This window comes from Homo sapiens, chromosome 17 (genome assembly GCF_000001405.40).
Source record: "Homo sapiens chromosome 17, GRCh38.p14 Primary Assembly".
Lineage (NCBI taxonomy): Eukaryota > Metazoa > Chordata > Mammalia > Primates > Hominidae > Homo > Homo sapiens.
Window position 1 is genome coordinate 39,601,273 of NC_000017.11, and position 22,138 is coordinate 39,623,410.

The window sequence follows — 22,138 nt, forward strand, 5'->3', positions numbered from 1 at the left end:
GGAGAGCCTGCCGCTGAGGCTAGGGCAAGAAGGGCGTCCTCTCTGTGCCTTCTCCCCAGGCCAGGCACAGCGCTGGCCCCTTTCCTCCTCCCTCCCCTGCTTCTGTTCTTGGAGCATCTCTGGGTGTGTGTGCGCAGGCGGGAGAGCAAGCAAGAGAAAGAGACCTGCGAGGGGACGTTTGGGGCCGCTTGTCCGCGCACATCTTCTTCTCCTGCTCATCACACCATCTCGCCAGGGAAGTTGAGCACTGGGGAGGAGGGTGATGAGAGGCTAGAGCCAGCCAGAGTGCAGGGAATGTGGGGGGAAGGGTCAGAAATCGGGAAAGGGGCGACTGGTGTGGATGCCGGGATTCACCAGAAGCTGAGTCACTCGGGGGGATTTCTGTCCCAAAAGGGACCTGTGCACCCCCACCCAATGTGATCACAGCTCACAGAGGCCCAAAAGTCATCAGCATCTTTCTAAAAGGGCTGGAATCTGGCTTCAAAAACAGAATTGAGCCACGTAGGGTAGCTGAAGAACAATGCATAGAAAGAAGTCTGTGGTCTGGCCAGGAGAGCCACATGGAGGGGTCCTTTGCTTCAGGCCCCAAGCCACCTGGATCCCGCCCAGCTCTGGACTTCTGAGCGGGTTCTAGGAAACTGACTGAGTAGGGGAGAAGCCCAATTAACCTTGTTCTCAGGGCAGGATAAGAATCAGGCCTCGGGATAAGTGCCAAGTTCCTTTTCTCTGCAATTGCCCCTGCCAGGCCTTGCTCCACGCCATGAGTGCAGATCAGACTTTTGCAGGTTAGGATCTGGGGTATGTGCCTTGCTCTACACTCCCTGCAATAAGTGAGGGGGAAGGAAGATGGGCCAACTCCTTTCTTCCATGAATAGGAGTGATTCAGAGGTTTCTAAGATGCTGAAGACAGGGACACATCCGGGGGATGAAGGCCCTAGTCTGTGATCTCACTCTAGAGAGGCGATGCCGGGAGAATTCCAGAGAAGGCAGTGAAATTTTGAAAGAATGCTGGTAAATGTTCTGAAAACTGCTGGAGAATTCCAGTGCAGCATTGGAAAGGGCCTCCTGCTCCATGTTCCCCTGGGTCAGGCAAATGGACCTCCCTCTGCAGCCAGAAGAAAAGACACTAGACGAGGGTCAGCATGCCACAGTGGACAGCTCCTGGCCTTGGCGCCTCTGCCGACAGCTGTCCTGACCACCGGGAGGGTATTCTTTCTACTGGGGGACAGAAGAGGTTTGAGGACAGACATTTAGGGGATGCAATGAGCTCAAGTTCAGAGTATAATTTGATCCACCCTTCAATATATAGGACTTCCTTCTTCAACAATCTTTCCCTTTCCTGCTTGTCAGGGAGATATTATTTTGGGTTCTTGGACCCAATCTTTAAAAGCCTTTGCATGCCTGACCTTAATCCTCAACCCCAACACTACAAACCCCACTTCAGCCCTAAAATGAGTCACAGTGTTTGGAGAAATCATTTAAATGAGCAGCATCAGAAACAGCCTCTTTGGGGGACTCCTAAATGTGTTCAGGCTTTAGGATGGGAGTCTTTGGGGCTCAGAACCCTCTTCAAATATTCTAGGGCTACAGCATGCACTGAGGGCTGAGCAGGGGGAGTAGGAGGGACTCTATCAGGGAAGTCAGTTAAGAGCTGCCCCTGCCTCTCAGGTTCAGAGAAAAAAGAATTGTGAGGCCACATTGTCTGAGCAGGAGATGCTCACCCAGTGCCCTTCCTCCCTTCTAAGCCCTTAGGGTTCCCTCTGTTCAGAACTGTACCAGACAGGAAGAAATCAGCCCAGATTTGGACTGGGTGGGCGCCTGCTGCCCTGTCCCAGGGAGTACATGGTTAGGCTCCTCTCTACTGGGTGGGCGCCCAGACTCAGCCACCTCACAGACCTCTAGGGGTGTTCCTCCAACCTTGTCCACACCCCTAAACATGTCAACATTCCTGAGACCAAAATGGCCGATTCCCCTGAGTCCACCGAAATACAATTTTAAGATGAAAAAGGGGCCTCCCTCATTAATATTTCATCTTCATGACCTTATAATGTTTTGTTTTGTTTTGTTTTGTTTTGTTTAAAAATACCCCTGTCTGATTCAAATGGTTGTCTCTTTGTCTCTGCCCACTTGCTTTTTGCAACAGTGGGCAGAGAGTTGTAAAATGACTGGCTGTTCCCAACTTGATCATTTTTCAGTGATGAAAAGGTATTTTGTTTTCAAGGGAGGTGCCTGTGCATGTTCAGGAATGAAGAAGTGTAAGGATATCAGTGCTTTAGTGCTGGGAAGGTGCGAGCCTGGGTTGGGTCTGGGAGGGGTAGCTAGTATAGCCCAGTGGGTGTATGGGGGGTGGTTAGGGAGAGAATACTACCCAAGAATGTCCAGGGTCCCTCTGTTTGGCCTCTGCACAGTCACTTGACACTCTGCCTTCATCACCCCAGCCCCAGCTCAAACCTTCTCTCCCCCCTCAATGAAATGAGGCCACCGTGAGAAACCGGTCCGGCTTTGCATCTCATTTACATAAATATTTATTAATCGTCATTAAACTGAACAGAAACACGCAATGCACTTCGGGTGTCCGACGGGAGTTTCATCTTCGCTACAAGAGGAAGGTAAAATTGCGTGTGTGTGGGTGAGTGTGTGGGTGTGTCGCCTGTGGGATTGCATTTTTGCATCGTGTATTTGGATGCCTGATCCCCTGCCTCCGGTGGGCAGAGGGTCTCCTTTTGCCCCTTTTTGGGGGAACCTCCAGTAGGAGCCCTCAGACCTCTCCCCGCCCACCCACCAGCTAAAGCCAAGAGGACTCCTTGGACCAAAAAATACTCTCTCCAGACACCGGAAATCGCCAGGTGGCACCCACCGAGGCACAGTCCGGGCAGGGGTGGGGCTGCCCCCAGGTCTCCATCCCCACCCCTCACCCCAGGAGGGGACAGAATGGCCGCGGGGAGGAGGAGCCGGCGAGCTCACCTCCTTCTGCCCCCCGGACGCCGGCGCCGGGCCTGCTTGTGCGTGCGGTGTGGTGTGCGTGTGTCTTTCATGCAAACCCTCCCTCCCCAAACCGACCCCCCAACAGTTTGCCATTCCATACAAATTTGGAAACAGGTTTTTAAAAAACAGCATGACGCACAACGGGGACGGGGCGGGGGAGGGCAGTGGCACTGGGGCCCCAAATCTCCGAGTCACTGATTGTAAGAACCTGGGGAGGGGGAGGGGGCGGCGCGGGCCCCCACTTCACCAAAGTGCACAGATCCGCGCTCGGGCGGGGCGGCCCGCAGGCCGGGCGGGGCATCCCGGGGCCGGGCCGGGCCGCGAGGCTCAGTGGAGCCTCCTTGCATAGATATTTGTGTCTTTGATTATTGGTAGTAGTGGTTTTTTTTTGTTTGTTTTTTTGTTTTTTGTTTTTTTTGCCTTTTATTGCTTCTAAAAGTCCTTACTGCGTTTTCTCTCCGATCCGGACTCTGCGTTCGGCTTCCGTCGCCTCTTAGCTTTTTTTTTTTTTTTTTTTTTTTTTTTTTTTTTTTTTTTTGTATGTTTGTTTGTTTAAAAAAAGGAAAAGGGAAAAACGGATTCTAGTTACAAATTGTCTTGGCCTCTCTCTTTCCTCTCAATCCACTTCCCCTCCCGCCAAAATTAAAATCGCAAAACGCGGAGACTGGAGGTTGGGGGTGAGGGCGTTCCAGGCCCGGGCTCCGGCGCCCTAACTTCTACCCTCTTCAAGAAAGAGGGAGCGCCTGGCTCCTTTTTGCCTCGGCAGCTGGGTGTCTGTTTTTAAAATAATAATGAGAGGGGGAAACGCGTTCCATTGCTCAGCTGCCCCCTTACCAACGCCTTGGGCCTGCAGGGAGGAGGGGGAGGAGGAAACCTCAGCGAAGATATTGGGAATGGGGGAGGGGTGCCTCCAGGGAGCCCCCGGAGAGAGGTCCCTGGAGAAGCACTCCTTGGGAGAGAGGAGGAGGGAACCCCTTGGGGAGAGAGAAGGCGAGTCCCCTGGGGGAAGCGAGGCCCCTGGGACAGGCCACCCACAGGTAACAGGACTGCGCTGCCCCAGGAGAGCGGCAGGACCGGTGGCCCGCTCCCCGCGCCCGGCGCCGGGGTAGGATGGGGGTGTCCCTGCGCTCTGGGGGCTGGGGACAGGGGGGCGGGCAAAGGCAAAAGAAAAAGAAGGGAGCCGGCGCGAAGTCTCAGTTATGAAAAAACGCATTGAGCTCCTCGTACATGGGGCCCCGGTCGTGGTGAAGGTGCATATCGTAAGACAAGAGATTCTCCGAGTGGACGCCCCCGCGCACAGCCGACGAGCCGAAGACTAGCCCGTGGCCCGTGGGCCGCGAACCGGGCAGCGCCGAGTAGTGCATAGAGTAGTGGTAGCTTTTCTCGTGGTCGGGCGAGGAGTCCTGCTTGAGTGAGAAGTTGCCATTGAGACAGAGCGGGGGGCTGAGCGGGCCCTCGTACTCGGAGCTGTTGTAGTCCGGGCTCGCGCCGCCACCGCCTGCCGCCGCATACAGCGTCTCGTAGGCGGCGCAGTAGCCGTGGGTCCGCAGGGCGTGCGCCGCGCCGCCGCCCAGGCCGCCGGCCGCCTGGCACTGTGCGCCCGCCAGGCGCGAGCACGGGTACGGGTAGGGGTGCATGGCGAACGGGCCGCCCGAGCCGTGGAAGCGGCCGGCACCGTCGGCGCCTTGCTCCGTGAGGAAGTTGCGAGAGTTGAGCTGCAGACAGCCGGCCACCAGATTGGTGGTGGGCTGCGACAGACCCTTGCACAGAGTCTGCACGTAGGACACTAGGTCTGGCCGCTTGCCGGAGCGCAGGATCTCCGAGAGCGCCCAGATATAGTTCTTGGCTAGGCGCAGCGTCTCGATCTTGGACAGCTTCTGCGTCTTGGAGTAGCAGGGCACCACCTTGCGCAGGTTGTCCAGGGCTGCGTTCAGGTCGTGCATGCGGTTGCGCTCCCGCGCGTTCGCCTTCTGCCGCCGAAGCTTGGAGCGCTCCAAGCGCGCCTTGGTCATCTTGCGCTTCTTGGGCCCGCGCTTCTTGGGCCGCTCGCCCTCCGCCTCGTCCAGTCCTTCTTCCTCCTCCTCTTCCTCCTCCTCCTCTCCCCCCAGCTCGCCTTCCTCCTTGACCTCGGCCAACGTGGCCTCCGTCCCCTCTTCTCCACGGAGAGGGACTGGCTTGGCCGCCCGGGCTGGCCCCGGAGCCCCTGGCCCGGGCGCAGGCGGTGGCGGTGGCGGCGCGTCGCCCTTGTCGCTCCTCGGCTCGTCGTCTTCGCCGTCGCCCCAGCTGGCGAACTTGGGCACGTCCGAGAGAAGGCCGGGCTCGCTGAACAGGCGGGTCAGCATGGTGCCTGAGGGCGCCCCGCGGGCGGGAAGGGGAGACAGACAGCACAAAGTGAGGGGCGCGCTGGGGTACCGACGCCCCCCCACAACCCTCCTCCACCCCCGAGTCTCGTGCGGGCTCCTGCCTAGGCTACCCTGGATGCCCACCTCCGCCGCCTGCCCCGCCCAGAGCCGGCCCAGCCCTACCCGGCTGCCGGCCTGGGATCTCGGCCCAGGCCCTCTCCCCGGCGCTGGGCCCCGGCTCCGCCCCTCGCTTGAATGGGGGGCTGCTCCCCGCGCCTGCTTCTTCTCAGGGTCAGGGCAGGGACCGGGTGGGGGTTTTAGGGACCAGATATCTTTGCCAGGGGAGGCGGCGCGCTCGCCCTGAAAGCCCGTTCTCTCCTGGCGGTGGAGAGAGGCTGGTCGGCCGCCGGTGGGGACAGCTGCCCCGCTCCGCGCTCTCGCGGCCCGGGCCCCCCGGCCCAGCTCCCTCACCCCTCCCGTGGCTCTCACCCCCACGCTCCCTAATCCAATTTGCAACTTGGCTGCGCGCCGCCCCTTGCTCGGCCCCCACCCCCGCACCCCCAATTCCAGAGGCGGGAGGATCGTCTCCTCTAGCCGATGCGTCCCCAGCTCCCGGAGCCGGCTCTGGGCGGCGAGGACTGAAGCAGCGGGGCGTGGGGAGGAGACTGAGAGAAGCGAGCCCAGTCCGTCCCCTCTGCGGTCAGGGACCCCCTTCCCCCTTCAAGCTGACTCCCTCCCACAAGGCTCTTCAGATCTCGTTGTATTTTGGGATTGATGGGGGAAAAATCCAAATTTGTTTGTTTGCTTCCCTTTTTTCGGTGGTGGGGAAAGGTGGCAGGCTTTTTGGGACAACCATGGAGGGGTCCTCCGTCTCGGCCTCTTCGCATATCCCCCTCCGTGATCCTGCCTTCCCCCCCCACCGAGCCCATCGCAGGCAGAGACACCTCCTCTGCAGCCCCCTGGGCTGCAGCCCCTAAGGGAGAGAGAACCTGGGGCCCCTCCGATGCCCACCCAATGAGGGGGGCATCATCCCAGGAAGGAGGTATTTGAGGACCCTCCTGTCGGCCGAAGCTGCCGCCCCTCCTCCCAACCGGCGGGTCAGATCTCGCTCCCTTTCGGACAACTTACCTCGGAGAGGAGTCAAGGGGAGAGGGGAGGGGAGGGGGGGAGGGGGCAAGAGAGAGAGGGGGGAGAAGAGGGATCTTCTCGCTTATTTCATTGTTCCCCCATCTTCAGGGAGCGGGGGCAGCGGCTCCTCAAGGCGGCGGGCGCCGGCGTCTTCAGAGCGCCATGCGAACCGCGGAGCGAGTGTGGCATCTCTACCAGGCGGGGTACCAGCCTCTATGCCAGGCCATATGGGCTTGGCACGTCACGGGCAGCAGCTATCACATGAGAGACGGTGATTGGCATGCGTCTGCACTGGGGGAGAGCCGGCTCCCCCGGGACCCGCCGCCATCTGTCACTCTCTACTCCAAAAAAAAAAAAAAAAATTAAATAAATAAAGGAAATAAATAAATATTTCTGCCGCCCTCCCCTCCCCGCCCAACGCAGGGAAAGCAGGGATTGAGAGGAAGGTGGGAGGAGTTGCCCCCTGTATATAGAGACCCCCTCACGGGAACAATGGGGTGGCAAGGCTGGACACTGGGGGCTCGTGGTGGCCAATTCTATGCTCCCTCAGGGTCCCGCTCTGTCCATTTCCTCCCCTGCAGGCCCCCAAGGTGGGTCAGGGACCAGACCCCGGGTTGGGGAGAAAGGACCTCTGTGCTTGCCCCCACTCCCCAGGAGGGTCCCCTTGGCCACAAAGGGACAGCTGAGACCCCCTCCCAGGATGGCTGTAAGGGGCGTCCCTGGCCCGAGCCCCATAGGTAGATGTTGGCACCATGCCATCCCTCATCCCTGTCTGCCCCTCCCCCACCCACCCTCACGCACACACAACATATGTGGCTAAACGAAATTCAAACCAAGGGAAAGACAGAGAAAGGGAAAGATGTGCCTGGATGTCTGTGCCTCTGCATGGGCGTGTGTGTGTCTGTGGGGACATGTGTGTATCTGTGGAGTCAGCCGATGGGAGATCTTTCCTTGGTTGTTGGGGGCGTATCCATGTTAGGGTGGAGTGGGGAGGGGCCGCGAGATGAGCCTGTGCACCACCCATCTGGGGGTGGAGGGGAGGGTCTAAGTCTGGATTCCTAACCTAGAAACCTCTCACTCTCCTCCTCCCACTGCCAGACAGGTGACCAGTCCACCAGCGGCTTTCTCTCCTGGTCTTCAGACTTGGTTATTTGAGGGAGGAGGAGCAGGCAGTGCTGAGAACTGCCTAAGTTCCTGGATGAGACTCAAGCATTCTCCTCCCCTTCTGAAAAATCTGAAAATACTGAAGCCAACCCCAGTAATCCCAAGAGTGGCCAAGGGGAGGTAGGTCAGACAGCTGTCTTGATAAGGGAGGTAGGAAGTTGCTGTTTTATCTTGTGGCTCACCTTTCAACACTCTCATTGGGCCAGACACAGATACAAATGGCACAGGTTGAAGAGGTGGCTTTGGACACACACACACACACTCATGCACACACACATACACACACACACGGATGCATACACATGCACACATATACCTGTTCCTCACCCTGTGGTGTAGAAAAATAGATAACATACCCCTACTCAGATAGACACATGTATGTGAGCAGGTAATCACAGCCTGGTGTAGACAGACCCTTGCCCACACCCCATTTGGAGCATTTGTATGTTTTAGACCCACATTTCTGCCCCTCCAGACACTCTAGCTGACATATATACACAACTTCAATTATACTTTCAGCACACACATTTTGATGTCTACCATGTGCCAAGCACTGTGGTGGTACAAAAATGAGCACGGGGAGGCCTTTACCCTCAATCTGGGTGGGCAGGGCTCTCTCCCTCTAGGAGGCTCCCCAGGGACCTTGGGCTGGTAAGACACTGATCTGATGTTGGGTAGGTTGGATTAAGTTCTAAATAGAGACACACATCAGGAGGCCTTGGAGATAGGGGTGCTGGTGCTGCCTGGGACTCTTGAGTCACTTGGCTGGGAGTTGAAAGTAGCCTGAGAATGTACCTCTCCAACTCCTCATCTTACAGAGGCCCATGGAGGGAAACTGACCTGCCTAGGAACACACAGGGGAAACACAGAACTGGGCCTAGAATTCAGGCACTTGACCCACAGACCAGTACTCCACTTATAAGCCCACAATCTGCCTCAGTGGTCTCTAAAAATAAGCCTACCATGCTTCCCTTCATTCACGAATCCTGGGTCTGCAAGGCGAATCCCATCTCTGGCAGATAGTCGTGGTGGGGAGATTCTGGGCATGGCAGAGAAAGAGGCCAAAGGATGGGCTTCAGGTAGGGCAGAGACTCAGGAGTGCTGGCCAGCCTCCACCAAGTTTGGGCACAGCCTCCAAGGCTTTGCAATCCTTTTACTGAAGCAGGGTCCTCAATCCTGACTAGTAGCCTTTTTCCTGGAGTCTCCTGGCTCTGTGATATTTCAATTACATGCCCATGCTCTGGGCTTCTGATTCCTGGCCAACCCCATTACCAACTTAAAAAAATGTTGGTCCCAGCCAGGCATGGTGGCTCACGCCTGTAATCCCAGCACTTTGGGAGGCCGAGGCGGGTGGATCACGAGGTCAGGAGATTGAGATCATCTTGGCTAACACGGTGAAAACCCATCTCTACTAAAAATACAAAAAATTAGCAGGGCATGGTGGCGGGCGCCTGTAGTCCCAGCTACTCGGGAGGCTGAGGCAGGAGAATGGCGTGAACACGGGAGGCGGAGCTTGCAGTGAGCCGAGATCGCACCACTGCACTCCAGCCTGGGCGACAGAGTGAGACTCCGTCTCAAAAAAAAAAAAAAATGAGAGGCCCAGCATGGTAGCTCACACCTGTAATACCAGCAGTTTGGGAGGCTGAGGCCAGCAGATCCCTTCAGCTCACAAGTTCGAGACCAGCCTGGGCAGCATTGTGAAACCCTGCCTCTGCCTAAAAAACAAAAATTAGCCAGGCATGGCGGCGCATGCCTGTAGTTCCAGCTACTCGGGAGGCTGAGGTGAGAGGATCGCTTGAGACCGGGAGGCAGAGGTTGCAGAGAGCTGTGATCACGCCACTGCACTCCAGCCTGGGTGATAGAGCCAGACCTTGTCTCAAAAAAAAAAAAAAAGTGCTGAATGCTTTGAGCAAGTTATATAACATCTCTTGGTCTTGATTTCCTCATCTGTAAGATGGGATAAATTATGCTACACCTTCATAGGGTTGTTGTTAATACTAAATGGGATAATCCATTCCATGAATGAGCCTCCAATAAATGCCAACTCTTAATTAAAACACCTTGGGAACTGTAAAATGCTTTACAATATTAATTTTTTTTGCTCATACCCCTCCCCACACACATTCAGAATGCTTGGTCTATATAGAAATTGAATTTTTGTTGAATTGATGGGCGAGTGAATGGATGAATAAGTGAATAAATGCTTCCTTAGGGGAGAAAGTTTTCTCTCCCTGCCTTCTCCCTTGGACCCTGAGGGCTGGGTTAAACGCTTCAGGGGTCTCACAGGCAGGAGGCAAAAACTTGTTCAAGATAGGGGAGCCCTTGGTTGGGGGGTTCCTGCCACCCTTCCGGCCACCTGTCAGGAATGACCTCAACTCTCTGGGTCTGAGAAGCTCCCCTCAGTCACCCAGAGAAGGAGGTCTGAGGTTGGGGGTGTGCACCTGGGGACTTCATCCCTTTCGCTCTGTCTCCTGCCCCTGTCTTTTCTTCCTTCAGAAAAATGGAACAAGTTTTTCTCACTCGACACATTTCAACTTTTTTTTAGAAGATACAATAAAAACCAGGGGAAAATTGGAACAGAGGGAGGTGTGGGATGGGCCTGCTTCAGACATGGGCTTGAAAGAGGCACAACACGTGTGTTCACATACACACAAGCAAGCATGAACACGCAGGGACATACGCGCGCCTCTCTGTGCACCAGAGATGCAGAGATGCAGTGACGGAGAGACAGAAAGAGCCAGAAATGGAAGGAAGGAGACGGAAGGAGAAGGACACCCAGAGATGCCATCTGTTCCTCCCCCTGGCATTGGGGGAAGGGAGTTGGTGAGGGGCCTGGTCCCCTCCAGGTCTCTGAGAGAAAAAAGGGAGTGATGGGCACCTCAGCCAGGCCTGGAAGGCCCCCATTGCTGCTGCCCACTCCTCTTGGAAGGAGCTAGGAGCTGGGGGGCCTGAGGTTCCCATGGAGACATAGCCCCATCCCAAGGGAGGCCACAGTCTGGGCACCTAAAATGGCTGCCTCAGAGGGGTGGCAGCCATTTTGTACAGGCTCAGGTCCTGGGGGCAGGGGTGAGGGGGGCAGAGTGTGTGTGGAGGGGAGGTGGGAGGTCATACCTGAGCAGTCTGGGGGACTCTTGCTCAGGGGACAGGAAGAGTGTTCTAGAAACTGCTCTTGTTATACCCCCGCTCCACCAAAATACATACATAAATCTTTAACTGCTCCACTCCATTCTGACACCCAGAAAGACAGCTAGCCAGTCACCACCCCCTCAATAAGATTGGTGGGGGCAAATGTGCTGAAGGAGACTTCATTTCCCACCAAAGCTCCAGGCAGGGAGAGGGGCGGCAGGTGGATCAAACCCAGGTGTCCAGCCCCTGGCCTCAGCCACACATCTATCCACCTCCTGGGGCCTCTCTGGGCTGAGTGGGGCCAGCAGGTGAGAACCCAGCGAGCTTGGGAGCACGGGGAGGGAAGGGGCCACCTGTCTTCTCACCCCCCTCCTCAGATTTGAGGGGAAGGGCAGGAATTTGGAGATCCTTGAGGGACCTGTGTTCCTGCCATTAGCCGTGCTATGGGGGGAGGAGGAAAGGGAGGGGGCAGGCTGGCACTGCCCAGCAGTGTTCCAGCAGTTCAGGATGCTCGAAGATTCCTCCTAAAGCATCGGAGCACCTGCCACCTCCCTCCCCAGCCCCTGCCTCACATCAAGTCCAAAGGATGCTGGGGGAGGGGGACCTGCAGCTTCTTCCTGGCTCTGGGGTGGGCACCTGCCCCACTGCCCCCTCCTCCCCGCCCGCCGCAGTATGCCGGGGAGCGGCGGGCACGCCAGATGGCGTGGCTGAGAATGCGGCGACGTTGCCGGGAGGTGAGGGCTGGCACGGGTGATATGCGGCTGCGTGCCTTGTGGTGCCATGGGGGAGGGGAGGGCAGGGCCAGTGAGGTGTAGCCCCCTCCTCCGTGCTGACCTCCTGTCCTGACCTCCACTCACCGCCAGGATTCTCTTCAACTTCCTCCGCCTGCTCCCTGGGCTCCCACTGTGGGCCTAGACCCCACCCAAAGATGGGTGGGACCAGCCTGATGCTGAGAGACCGAGGTCAGACCTCTGTTGCATCCTTGTCCCCCTGTCCCACCCCCAATCAGGGACAAAGGATGGATAGAGGAGACCCACCAGTCCTGCACCAAAGCCAGCCCCCTCCGAATTGTTTCCTTGCTCTAAAGGTGGCGTGACCTTTGCTCCCGTAACCTTTGACTTCTGGCCTCTGAACCCTGTTTTTCTGAGAAGAGCTCTTTCCCTGATGGGCACTGGTCTCTGAGTTTCCCTTTGGTCAAATGCATTCTCATTCCTCACTAAGATGCTTCCTGGACACCTCCTCCTGGGAGCCTTCCCTGACCTCCCCAGGCAGGGGAGCTTACCACCCTTTGTTAGAAGGACCCATTTACCCATCTGTCTCCTTGCCTGGACCCTGGTGACGACTTGTTCTGTATCTCTTTAGTCTCAAGCTTCGTGCTGGGCAACATAGTGAGACTCCTGTCTCTTAAAAAAAAAAAAAAGCCCAAGAAAGAGTCCGCACCCTTTATGCCAGGCAGTCCTTCCCAGGTCCATGCCTGGGGCTGATTCAACCTGCCTGGTGCCACGCACATAGCTCTCACTGAGTTGGTGCTTAATAAATGCTTGTTGCATTAATGCCCAGCTGGGCCAGAAACTTTGGGTCCTGGAACCTTTCTCCTGAGACTCTCCTAAAGCAGAAAGGCTGAGGGTCCCGGTCAAGCCCAGAGTCCTCAGCCCCTTCCCTTGCCTTTTGCACAAATTGCAGTCTGAGGAGGTGGACTTGGGATGGGGGTCACAGATTCCCCCCAAAGTAGGGCGAGGAGGCTGAGCCTGGGACTGCCAGACTCTTGCTCCCTGGTACCAGGCCATGATCCTGAGGCCACAGGGCCTGCCCTGCTGTGGACCCCCTGCTTGGTCACCACACCTTCACCTTTCAGCAGGCTCAGAACCCCCTCCTTCTTACCCCACGACATTCTTGCCCTGCATGGGGCACTCTGAGGAGAGATGAGGTCCAGGGACACAGCTGCGTCCTGCTCCCGCTGCTGCATCTCTGCTGATGCTGCTCCCCAGTATCTCAGAACCCTTCAGCCTTATGGGCCTGGCCCAGGCCCTCCTCCTCCGGGAAGTTGGCCCTGACTTCTGTTTTTTTTTTTGAGACGGAGTTTCACTCTTGTTGCCCAGGCTGGAGTGCAATGGCGCGATCTTGGCTCACCGCAACCTCCGCCTCCTGGGTTCAAGCGATTCTCCTGCCTCAGCCTCCCGAGTAGCTGGAATTACAGGCCTGCACCACCAAGCCCGGCTAATTTTGTGTATTTTTAGTGGAGATGGTGTTTCTCCATGTTGGTCAGGCTGATCTCGAACTCCCACCCTCAGGAGATCCGCCCGCCTCGGCCTCCCAAAGTGCTGGGATTACAGGCGTGAGCCACTGCGCCCAGCTGGCCCTGACTTCTTAAGGGCCCTTGCTCCTCTGGCTTACCTCACGGGACCAAGGCTACCCACCCTGCACATCCTATCCAAAATGCAAATACCATGCAAACATGGTATTTGCCTACTCTGGTGCCTTCCATGGCTCCCAGTGTCCCTAAGATGAGGCCATGCTCTTTAGGGACACCCCTGATTTGGCTGCTGCTTTTATCTGTGCCCTCAGCAGCTCCAACTATTTCTGGATTTACAAGCCTCATGCCTAGTAATCTTTGTTCAGGCTGTTCTGTCTTCCTGAGGTGTCCAGTCCAGCTTCCTCACCCCTTAAGCCTAAGCATCACCTCCTCCAGGAAGCCGCTCTGGGCAGCACATTTCACGAAGGCAGGAACTGGACCCAGAGCCTGGCACACAGAATATCCTCAATATATAGCTGTGGCACCAAGATCTGTCCTGCTCCTGTTGGGAGGGTGGTGGTGTCAGTTCTTCTGCCCCCAAAATGGAAGGCTGCAAGCCAGCACAGGACCTCTACCCACAGGAAGTCCCTCCTCAAAATCTTCCCTCTTTTCTCTTCAGCTTCCCCACCAATATCAGCACTGACATGGAATGTCAGTTTTCCCCTCTGTAAAATGGGCGTGCTAATAAGCTTCAAATGAGCTAACAGCTCTCTCCAGAGGTGGCTGATTTTGCCTCAGGCAAAATCAGTGTTATTTTTTTCCTTTTTTCTTATTGATTTATTTGTTTGTTTGTTTATTTTTGAGACAGGGTCTCACTCTGTCACCCAGGCTGGAATGCAGTGGCACAGTCTCAGCTCACTGCAGCCTCCACCTCCTGGGCTCAAGCAATCCTCCCACCTCAGCCTCCTGAGTAGCTGGGACTGTAGGCGCACACCACCACGCCTGGCTGCCTTTTGTATTTTTGGTAGAGATGGGGTTTCCCCATGTTGGCCAGGCTGGTCTCGAACTCCTGACCTCAAGAGATCTGCCCACCTCGGCCTCCCAAAGTGTTGGGATTACAGGCGTGAGCCCTGCACCTGGCCCAATGTTATTTTTTTAATTTTGTTCCTGCAGCTCTCTTCATCACCATATCTTTGTTCTGCTTCTCTTGTGAGTTTTCCATGGAGAAGTTGATATGTCTTGTTCCAGCCCCTCCCAAACCCACTCCCAGAGTCCATACAGGAAGGCAGAGGAACAGGGAGCTCAAGGTGGCAACTGTACCAGAGTTAGCAGCGTTGTGACCTTGGTCAGATCATGTAACCCCCTGCTTCCTCATCTGTAAAATGGGACTAGCACCACGGTTCACCTGGTCACCTGCAGTTCAGCACTGATGGGAGGAACAAAAGGACGGCAGGTTATGAAGTGCGCACTTGGGTGGCCAAGTGCTGGCGGATGGGGGTTGGGGAACTCCTCCCTGATGCTGCAGCGCAGGGCAGTGGGGACAGCACAGGACCAGGCTGCATCCTGGGCCCTCTTTCCTTAGGGCGGGCTCTGTTGTGACCTTCCCTGTGACCTGGGCATTTCCCAGTTTCTGCCCCTGGAAATCAGAGCCAGGGATCTGGGCTGGGGAATTTTAGGGGCTTGGTGCTGGACTATTCCCTGAAACGTCCCTTGAGCGCATGGGTGCAGGGGACATATGGGCCTGACAGTAGGCACGGATGACCCACACCATAGTGGTGATGCTAGTGCTCAGGAGGACAGCCCCAAAAGGTCACTGGGGCAGAATGTATGGTGTGTGCAGGACACTGTGGTCAGGGCAGGAGGTCACAATTTAACCAGAGATCTCTTGAGTCAGCCCCAGGAGTGGACCTGGGAAGGACTGCCTGGCATGAAGGGTGGAGATTCTTTCTTTCTTTCTTTCTTTCTTTTTTTTGAGACGGAGTCTTGCTCTGTCGCCCAGGCTGGAGTGCAGTGGCGCCATCCCAGCTCACTGCAACCTCTGCCTCCCGGCTCAAGCAATTCTCCAGCCTCAGCCTCCAGAGTAGCTAGAACTACAGGCGCACGCCACCACGCCCAGCTAATTTTTGTATTTTAGTAGAGATGGGGTTTCACCATTTGGCTAGGCAGGTCTCAAACTCCTGACCTCAAGCGATCCACCCACTTTGGCCTCCCAAAGTGCTGGGATTACAGGTGTGAGCCACCATGCCCAGCCGTTTTTTGTTTTTTTTAGAGACAAGAGTCTTGCTATGTTGCCCAGACTGGACTCAAATACCTGGCTTCAAGCAATCCTCCCACCTGAGCCTCCCAAGTAGCTGGGACTACAGGCCCACACCACTGTGCCCTGCCTGACTTTTTAATTGGGGTCCACAGGGAGGGAAGGGAATAGTCTAGAGAGGTAGGGTCTCATGGGCTCACTCCCCATTTTACAGATGAAGAAGCCACAGAGAGGGGAAGCAACCTGCCTTGTGTCACACAATAAGTGAGTGGCAGAGCTGGGACTGGAAACCAGGACTCTGTTGCCACTTTGGGGTCCTCTCATTCCCAGAGCCTCAGCACTCTGTGTGATAACATACTTATTAATGTAATAATGACAATGGTGAGTGCTATCTGTGCCAGGCACTGGCCTTCACAGGAATCATTTTATTCTTGACAAGACATCTGTGGGAGGGATTCCTAGTACCACCACTTAAAGACCAGGATGCTGAAGCACAGAGAGGTTGCCGTCAAGGCTGATGTGTCAAGGTCACATAGCTAGAAAGTGGCAGAGCTGGGATTTGAACCAAGTTTGACTTGACTCCAGGGCTCATGCTCTTACTATTATAAAGTGTGTCCCTTTCTCTGAAACCGCTGTGGTCTCCACACCGTAGGACCAGCAGACCCCGCAATGGAGAGGGAAAGGAGGGTGCCCTGGGAAGGACTTGTGCCCAGGGTTTGCCCTCTGGCAACTGGCCTCTGGCCAGGTCCCCAAGTCACAGGAGCCATGATGCCCTGGCCTGGATCTATCAAGTTCTGCTCATGGGTGGGTAGGTGGGTGGAGGCTGCTTCTAAACACAGAGAGGGAGCAGTCACATTAACCATGGAGTTTTTCCACCCTGTATATACCACTTTCCTCAGCTTCTTCAGAAGACTCCCTCCTAGCCCTTGCAGACTCAGTGAGGTGCTGCCTCCACCAGGAAGTCCTCCCTGATGTCCCCTGATGGCGCTCCAGCCTCTGGCCCTTGGCACCGCGTTGAACATTTGGGGATGGACAGACCAGCTTCAGGAGCCCCAGCTTCACCACTTGCTCACCAGCTACCTGCAGCCCCCGCCCCCGTCTGCCCTCCTGTCTGTAAAATGGGAATAAGAAGCCCTGCCTCACAAAATCTTTGCAAGGAGGAGCAGCGGCGTCCTAGGAGCAAGCACCTGGCGCCCGGTGAGCCCCCGCCACTCGCTCCTTCTCCTCCTTGTCCTTCTCCTGGCTTGCTCCCGGTTCTCTCCTCGCCACCCCCGCCCCGCGCCTGGCACGGCGCCCGGCGCGCCCCAGCCGCCCAATCCCGGCTCGCAGCCCTGACTTCCTGCCCGCCGGGCTCCCTCGGCACGTGCCCCGCGCCCCATGGGACCGCGCGCCCTCCCGGGGCGGCCTCCCCGCGGCCTCCCGCTTGGGGGAGCCGGGCTTGGGGGAGCGGGTCGCCCCGGCTCGGAGGTGGGGTCGGCGGGGGCCGGGCGGGCCGGCCGCGGCGGCGGGAAGGGGACGCTGCCCCTTTAAGGTGCCACCGCCGCGTGGCAGGGAAACAGCTTGTGCCAGCCCCATTCCGCCCGGCTCCGTTCGCTACAAGAAACACAATGCATAACAATCAGGCGCGCGCTTGGAGCCATGCCACGCGGCGGGGGCGGGGCGGGGCCGCGCGCCGGGCGGGGCGGGGGCTCCGGGGTCTCGGCCCCCGACCTGCGTCCTGGGCCCGCAGGGGAGTCCTGCCCCATGCTCCCGGGCGGGGCCGCCCTGTGCCCCAGCGAGGTGCCCCGGTGCCCCCCGCCTCGCCCGCGCTTGCCCCTCCCTCCCCGCCATCTCGCTCCCTACAAAGTTCATTCCCACTAACTCTTTTCCAGGCCACTTCCCCCTCACATCTGACAATCGGGGCCCCTCATTCTCCCAGTAATCACTCCACTGCACTAATTGCACATGCAAATATGCAAATGCGTATTAATTAATTACTATACTAATTAGTTCTGTGGTATTTGCGAGTAATAAATCATTGGATGGGAGCGAGGAAGCTGGAGACCTGGCCCATTTTCATTCTGCATAAAATTTTAATGGTCTCTCTGGCTGATCCGGGACGGCAGCGCGCGGAGAGGCTCTTAAAGGGCCAGTGGCGGCGGGAAGGGGCAGCGGTGGGGATCGCCGTTGACCCCGGCGGGGACTGGCACCCTAGAAGGAGTTGGAGATGCGGCCTCACATTCTGCAGGGGCCGTCTCCGGCGTGCGGTGGCTTCTGCCTCCCCCTCTGGGGCTCAGTGTCCTCCTTAGTGGCTTCTAAGGAGAGAACCTGGGCGGGGACCAGGAGCTGAACTAGGATTCTTTAAGAAAGGAAAGAGGTCTAGGAGATGTGAGAGGCCAATGCCAAGGCTTTGGGGCCCCAGGTAGCCTGGGAGACAGGAATGAAGACTCCATCTCCTGGATGGCTGAGTAAACTGAGGCACAGGACAGGCAAATCTTAGCTCCCACCCCTCTTCTCCCAAGGGGAAGGAAGCTAGAAGGATGTTCTGGTTGGCCCCAGCCTTTTCTTATATCTGGTGGGCGCCACAAGGTTGGGGGTGCCTCCAGCTTTCCCCTTCCACACGATCAAACCGCTGCCCCGCCCCCATGGGCACCAGCTGGCACCCTGGCAGAGTAGTCCTGGGCTTGAGTGGGCCCTGGGGACCCTGCTTTATTTCCAGGAGGTAGTCAGGACCCGGGCACAGGGAGGGGGCTGGCTGCTTTGCAGGGCCATTGACTGGGGGAGGCAGACAGAACCAGTTGTGCTCATGCCAGGGCGTAGGAGGATGCCAGAGGTGGGCACCTTAAGGAGGTGGGGACTGTGGGCCTGTCCTGAGCCGGTATTCCCCGTGCCAGGGTCTCTAGTCTGGTTCTGCTCAGCCTCCAACCTTCTGCCATCAACAAGCCCCTGGATAAGGCACAGCCTAAGGAGGGTCAGTGCTCTAGTGGGGGCCGATGATAATGACAGCAACTAACAAGACTATTAACTCGGCAAACATTTATTTAGCTGGAGAACTGTTCAGCAAGCTCTAGGTGCCTCACGACCCCCCAGTGACACAAGTTCTGTTACAGTCTCCGTTTTAAGGATGGAGAAACAGGGGCACACGAAGGTTAAGCAACCTGCTCAAGGTCACCCAGCTGTGAGTAGTGGAGTGGAGTTTGAACCCAGACAGTCCAGCTGTGTGTGGGTTCTTTCCAGCACACCACCTCTCCCCACCACCATTTCTGCAGCTCCTGCTCTGAACCACATCCTTTGCTAAGAACTTCATGGGCAGTATCCCATCCAAACCTTGCAACAACCCAGAAGGTAGGTTCTGGAATTATCTCCATGTGGAACACAAGGCTCAGAGAGGTTGACTAAGCTGCTCTGGAACACACAGGGAAGATGTAGCAAGGCCAGGCTCACACCTGGCTTGTGTGAGGGCAGAGTCCAACAGAGTCCTCCAGGCCCTCTGATCCCTCCCCATCTCTGCCCCTGCTGGGATCTCTGCCTCCTGGAAGAGCAAGAGGGCGTTGTGGTAGCCCCTGATGACTAGAGAAATGGAAGGGCTTTCAGTTAGATGGTAGAGAGAACTTGCTTCTTGAAAGGTGGGAGCTCCAGGGGCTGGGGTGGGATGGAGCCTTTTCTTCCTTTCCCAGACAGGCCAAGGAAGGGCCTTGGCTGTGTAGTGGGAGATGGGTGGGGATGGGGGTGGAGGGGTGGGGGAGAACAGAAGGGCCCAGAATGATAAAGCCTTGTGAGGACCACAGAACTCAGGAATCCTGGCTGGGTTTTAAAAATTTTGTCCCTGATAGGCCGGACGCGGTGGCTCCCACCTGTAATCCCAGCATTTTGGGAGGCCAAGGCGGGCAGATCACTTGAGGTCAGGAGTTCGAGACCAGCCTGGCCAACATGGTGAAACCCTGTGTCTACTAAAAATACAAAAATTAGCCGGGTGTGGTGGCGGGCATCTGTAATCTCAGCTACTTGGAAGGCTGAGTCAGGAGAATTGCTTGAACCTGGGAGGCGGAGGTTGCGGTGAGCCAAGATCACTGCCACTGCACTCCAGCTTGGGCGACAAGAGCAAGACTCCATCTCAAAAAAAAAGAAAAAAAAATTTGTCCCTGCATTCCTACCTGCCCCCCACCCATTGCCCCTGGAAATGTCTTGGGCACCCCCACCTCAAGAATTGCTATTTGGGTTTCCTATTTGGGTTTTCCAGGAGCTTCGGTCTCCAGCAGGGGGATGAGAAGATAATACTAAGCAACACTTTGTAATAAATCACTTGTTTTTTTAAACTGTGTGCTTATGAGCATCAACTTGCTTAGTTTTCATAATTCTATTGTTATCCCCGTTTTATAAATGGAGACACCGAGGAAGGAAAGACAGGTTAAATGATGTGGCCAAGGTCACACAGCTACTAAGTGGTAGAACTGGGACTTGAGCTTCTGAGCTGGGGTGCTTCACCACCCTGCACACGCTGAGCCAGATTGACCCCCTTGCCCAGCAGTCAGGGATCATGGTGGCAGGTGGCCTTTCACCCTGGGTCCCTTTGGAACTTGCAGATGCAAGGAGAAAGAACAGGCCTCAAGCCCGCAGTTCACATGGCCCCTCCCCATGTGAATTTTCATGGTGCTGTTTATATGCTAGCAGAAGCTGGGCAAAGTGAGTATTCAGGTGGCCCTGATCCCTCCACACTGGAGCCTCAGGACGGGTGGGCACTGGGAGCTCCAGAACAGGATGCTATCCCAGCATCTCTTGCCCCCTGCCAGCCCACCCTTGAGAGCACAGCAGGGTCAGGGAGTCAGTCTATTAGCATCTGTCAGGGGGACCACCCTGAGACAGAACACTGGGATTCCCATGATCTCAGGGTCCCCTTACCTCCTGGTGGCTCAGGGGGACTTCCCCAGGGAATCTGGACACCCTCATTTCCCCAAAACTAGAGAAACCTTTGACACCCACCTTCTGGACCTGAAAGTCGGGTGGGATATGGGGGTTGTGGGACTTAGGGAGGGATGGCCCTTGGGCTGCAGCCCATTAGGAAAGAAAACCCATCCCTGTCTCAGCACTCCACTGAAGACCAGAGAATCGGGGTTCATCAGGGTCCACACCCCTGCCCCCACCCACCTGCCCTGCAAGATGCCCAGTTTCTGGGTGAATGGGAGCAAGTTGGAGAGGTTGGGGGAAGAAGGCAGGAAGGGCAGGCTGGCGGCTCTGAGCTTCTCCATGCAGCCCCCGGGGCCGGGTGCCTGGGCAGGAGGACGGGGCAGAGCAGCTGCTGGCGATTTATTAAGCAGTCACGGAAAAATTGGTTTATAAATTAACAGCTGTTTTAACTTTAGGGCCTCTTCTTCAGGGAATGGAAGCAGCCGACTGGACCGGGATTGGAGTGTGTGTAAGGCTGGTGGAGGGAGTGGGAGGCGGGGGGCTCCGGCAGCTGGCATTCTTCGGGGGCAGCCTCAGCTGGCACCTCGGGGGGCACCAGGCAGTGGCCAGAGCAGGGGGTCTCCAGGTGCCGGGGACTGAGGCTACCCCTGCTGTGGGCTGCAGCTTGCTCTCTTCTCAACTTCCCAGCTCCCACCTGGGGGCGCCAGAGGGCACATATACTGCTGTACTCGTTTGTGCCACCAGAGGGCAGCCTCCGCACATCGATCTCTACTGCTTCCGAGAACTGTCCAAACCGGCGGGACTGAGAGAGAGAAACCTGGTCCAGGGCAGAGAAAGAGAGGAGCCCACTGCAGTGCGTGCAAGCGATCTTCCACGCGTCCATCCTGAATGTGTTAAAAGCAGCAGTTAAAGAGGGAGGGCTCTGGAGTTGGACTGTTTGCGTTTGAACCCAGACTCTGGGCAAAAGCTGCTGAACCTCTCTGAATCTAATAGCCTCATCTGTGAATTGGAAGGATACTAGCGAGGATTAAATGAGAGTGCATAGGAAGGGCCTAGCCCCGGTGCCCAGCACAGAGGCTCCATATGTGTCACCGTTGTCAATTTCTGACTCATGTATTCATCTATTCATTCACTTCTCAAACCATCCTCTCGGCGTCATGCAGTGCCTGCTGTATTCTGGGTACTGTGGCAGGTCGGTGATGATGTAAACAGAGATGGCGGCCAGGGACGGTGGCTCAAGCCTGTAATCCCAGGCCTTTGGGAGGCTGAGGCGGAAGGATCACTTGAGCCCAGGAGTTCGAGACCAGCCTGGGCAACAAAGTGAGACCCTGTCTCTACAAAAAACAATAATAAAAAAAACATTAGTCAGGTGTGGTGGTGCACATCTGTAGTTCCAGCTACACAGAAGGCTGAGGCAGGAGGATCGTTTGAGCCTAGGAGGTCGAGGCTGCAGTGAGCCGTGATGGCGCCACTGCACTCCAGCCTGGGCAACAGAGCAAGATCCTGTCTCCAAAAAAAAAAAAAAAAAAAAAAAAAGGTGAGAAAGACACGTATCAAAATAGTGTGCTAAGAGTTACGATACACCCAATGAGGGGAGAAGGGAGATTGACTTGGATGGGGCAAAAACGAACGTTCTGGGGTGACAGAAACATTATATATCTGTATTGTGGTGGTCAAATGCTATATAAATTTCCAAAAACTCATTGAAATGTATATTTAACACTTTATTGTAGGCAAACTGTAACTCAACAAAGCTGATTTGAAAAAAAGCACCTAAGCACCCAATGTGAATTTACTGAATGGGCAAAGGGATGGACGATGGGTGAATGAATGAATGAGTGCATGTGTAAATGAGTGTCTCAGATGGTTGTCCACCTGTCTTGGTGCCACCACTGCTCCTACTGAGGGTGTCCTTGCCCTCTCCTCTCGGGTACACGGGTTTCCCCAGAGAGGTGGGTCTTGGAATTCCTCTTCCTCCCGCGTCCCCCCTTCTCCCTTCCCCCAAGGGCAGGGAAAGACACC

The 22,138-nt window shown here is 56.2% G+C and overlaps 1 protein-coding gene and 1 long non-coding RNA gene across 2 annotated transcripts, besides 9 other annotated features; one reads left to right on the forward strand and one right to left on the reverse strand.

Moving 5' to 3' along the window:
* Window positions 1-2,495: 2,495 nt before the first annotated feature.
* On the reverse strand, window positions 2,496-6,648 carry NEUROD2 (neuronal differentiation 2). The gene is made up of 2 exons (NM_006160.4): window positions 6,456-6,648; window positions 2,496-5,332 (listed from the first exon to the last, which is right to left on the reverse strand). The coding sequence occupies exon 2, from the start codon at window positions 5,325-5,327 to the stop codon at window positions 4,179-4,181; it is 1,149 nt and encodes a 382-aa protein (NP_006151.3). The 5' UTR covers window positions 5,328-5,332; window positions 6,456-6,648; the 3' UTR covers window positions 2,496-4,178.
* Window positions 13,896-13,955: an enhancer, noted in NCBI's record as "active region_12097". NCBI's record gives its function as "activates an Ori minimal core promoter by ATAC-STARR-seq in GM12878 lymphoblastoid cells {active_cell/tissue: GM12878}" and the evidence as "EXISTENCE:reporter gene assay evidence [ECO:0000049][PMID:35858748]".
* Window positions 14,026-14,095: an enhancer, noted in NCBI's record as "active region_12098". NCBI's record gives its function as "activates an Ori minimal core promoter by ATAC-STARR-seq in GM12878 lymphoblastoid cells {active_cell/tissue: GM12878}" and the evidence as "EXISTENCE:reporter gene assay evidence [ECO:0000049][PMID:35858748]".
* Window positions 16,579-16,678: a silencer, noted in NCBI's record as "silent region_8458". NCBI's record gives its function as "represses an Ori minimal core promoter by ATAC-STARR-seq in GM12878 lymphoblastoid cells {active_cell/tissue: GM12878}" and the evidence as "EXISTENCE:reporter gene assay evidence [ECO:0000049][PMID:35858748]".
* Window positions 16,759-16,898: a silencer, noted in NCBI's record as "silent region_8459". NCBI's record gives its function as "represses an Ori minimal core promoter by ATAC-STARR-seq in GM12878 lymphoblastoid cells {active_cell/tissue: GM12878}" and the evidence as "EXISTENCE:reporter gene assay evidence [ECO:0000049][PMID:35858748]".
* Window positions 16,960-17,463: an enhancer, noted in NCBI's record as "VISTA enhancer hs627". NCBI's record gives its function as "enhancer in: midbrain (mesencephalon)[3/8]" and the evidence as "EXISTENCE:transgenic organism evidence [ECO:0001131][PMID:17130149]".
* Window positions 16,960-17,631: a biological region, named in NCBI's record as "VISTA enhancer hs627".
* Window positions 17,131-17,631: an enhancer, noted in NCBI's record as "H3K4me1 hESC enhancer chr17:37774656-37775156 (GRCh37/hg19 assembly coordinates)". NCBI's record gives its function as "activates a minimal SCP1, AML or CMV promoter by ChIP-STARR-seq in naive H9 embryonic stem cells {active_cell/tissue: H9 hESC(naive)}" and the evidence as "EXISTENCE:reporter gene assay evidence [ECO:0000049][PMID:30033119]".
* Window positions 17,632-18,132: an enhancer, noted in NCBI's record as "H3K4me1 hESC enhancer chr17:37775157-37775657 (GRCh37/hg19 assembly coordinates)". NCBI's record gives its function as "activates a minimal SCP1, AML or CMV promoter by ChIP-STARR-seq in naive and primed H9 embryonic stem cells {active_cell/tissue: H9 hESC(naive and primed)}" and the evidence as "EXISTENCE:reporter gene assay evidence [ECO:0000049][PMID:30033119]".
* On the forward strand, window positions 20,570-21,888 carry LOC124903997 (uncharacterized). Its single transcript, XR_007065748.1, has 2 exons — window positions 20,570-20,624; window positions 20,804-21,888. It is a non-coding gene; the product is annotated as an uncharacterized LOC124903997 (long non-coding RNA).
* Window positions 21,120-21,409: an enhancer, noted in NCBI's record as "active region_12099". NCBI's record gives its function as "activates an Ori minimal core promoter by ATAC-STARR-seq in GM12878 lymphoblastoid cells {active_cell/tissue: GM12878}" and the evidence as "EXISTENCE:reporter gene assay evidence [ECO:0000049][PMID:35858748]".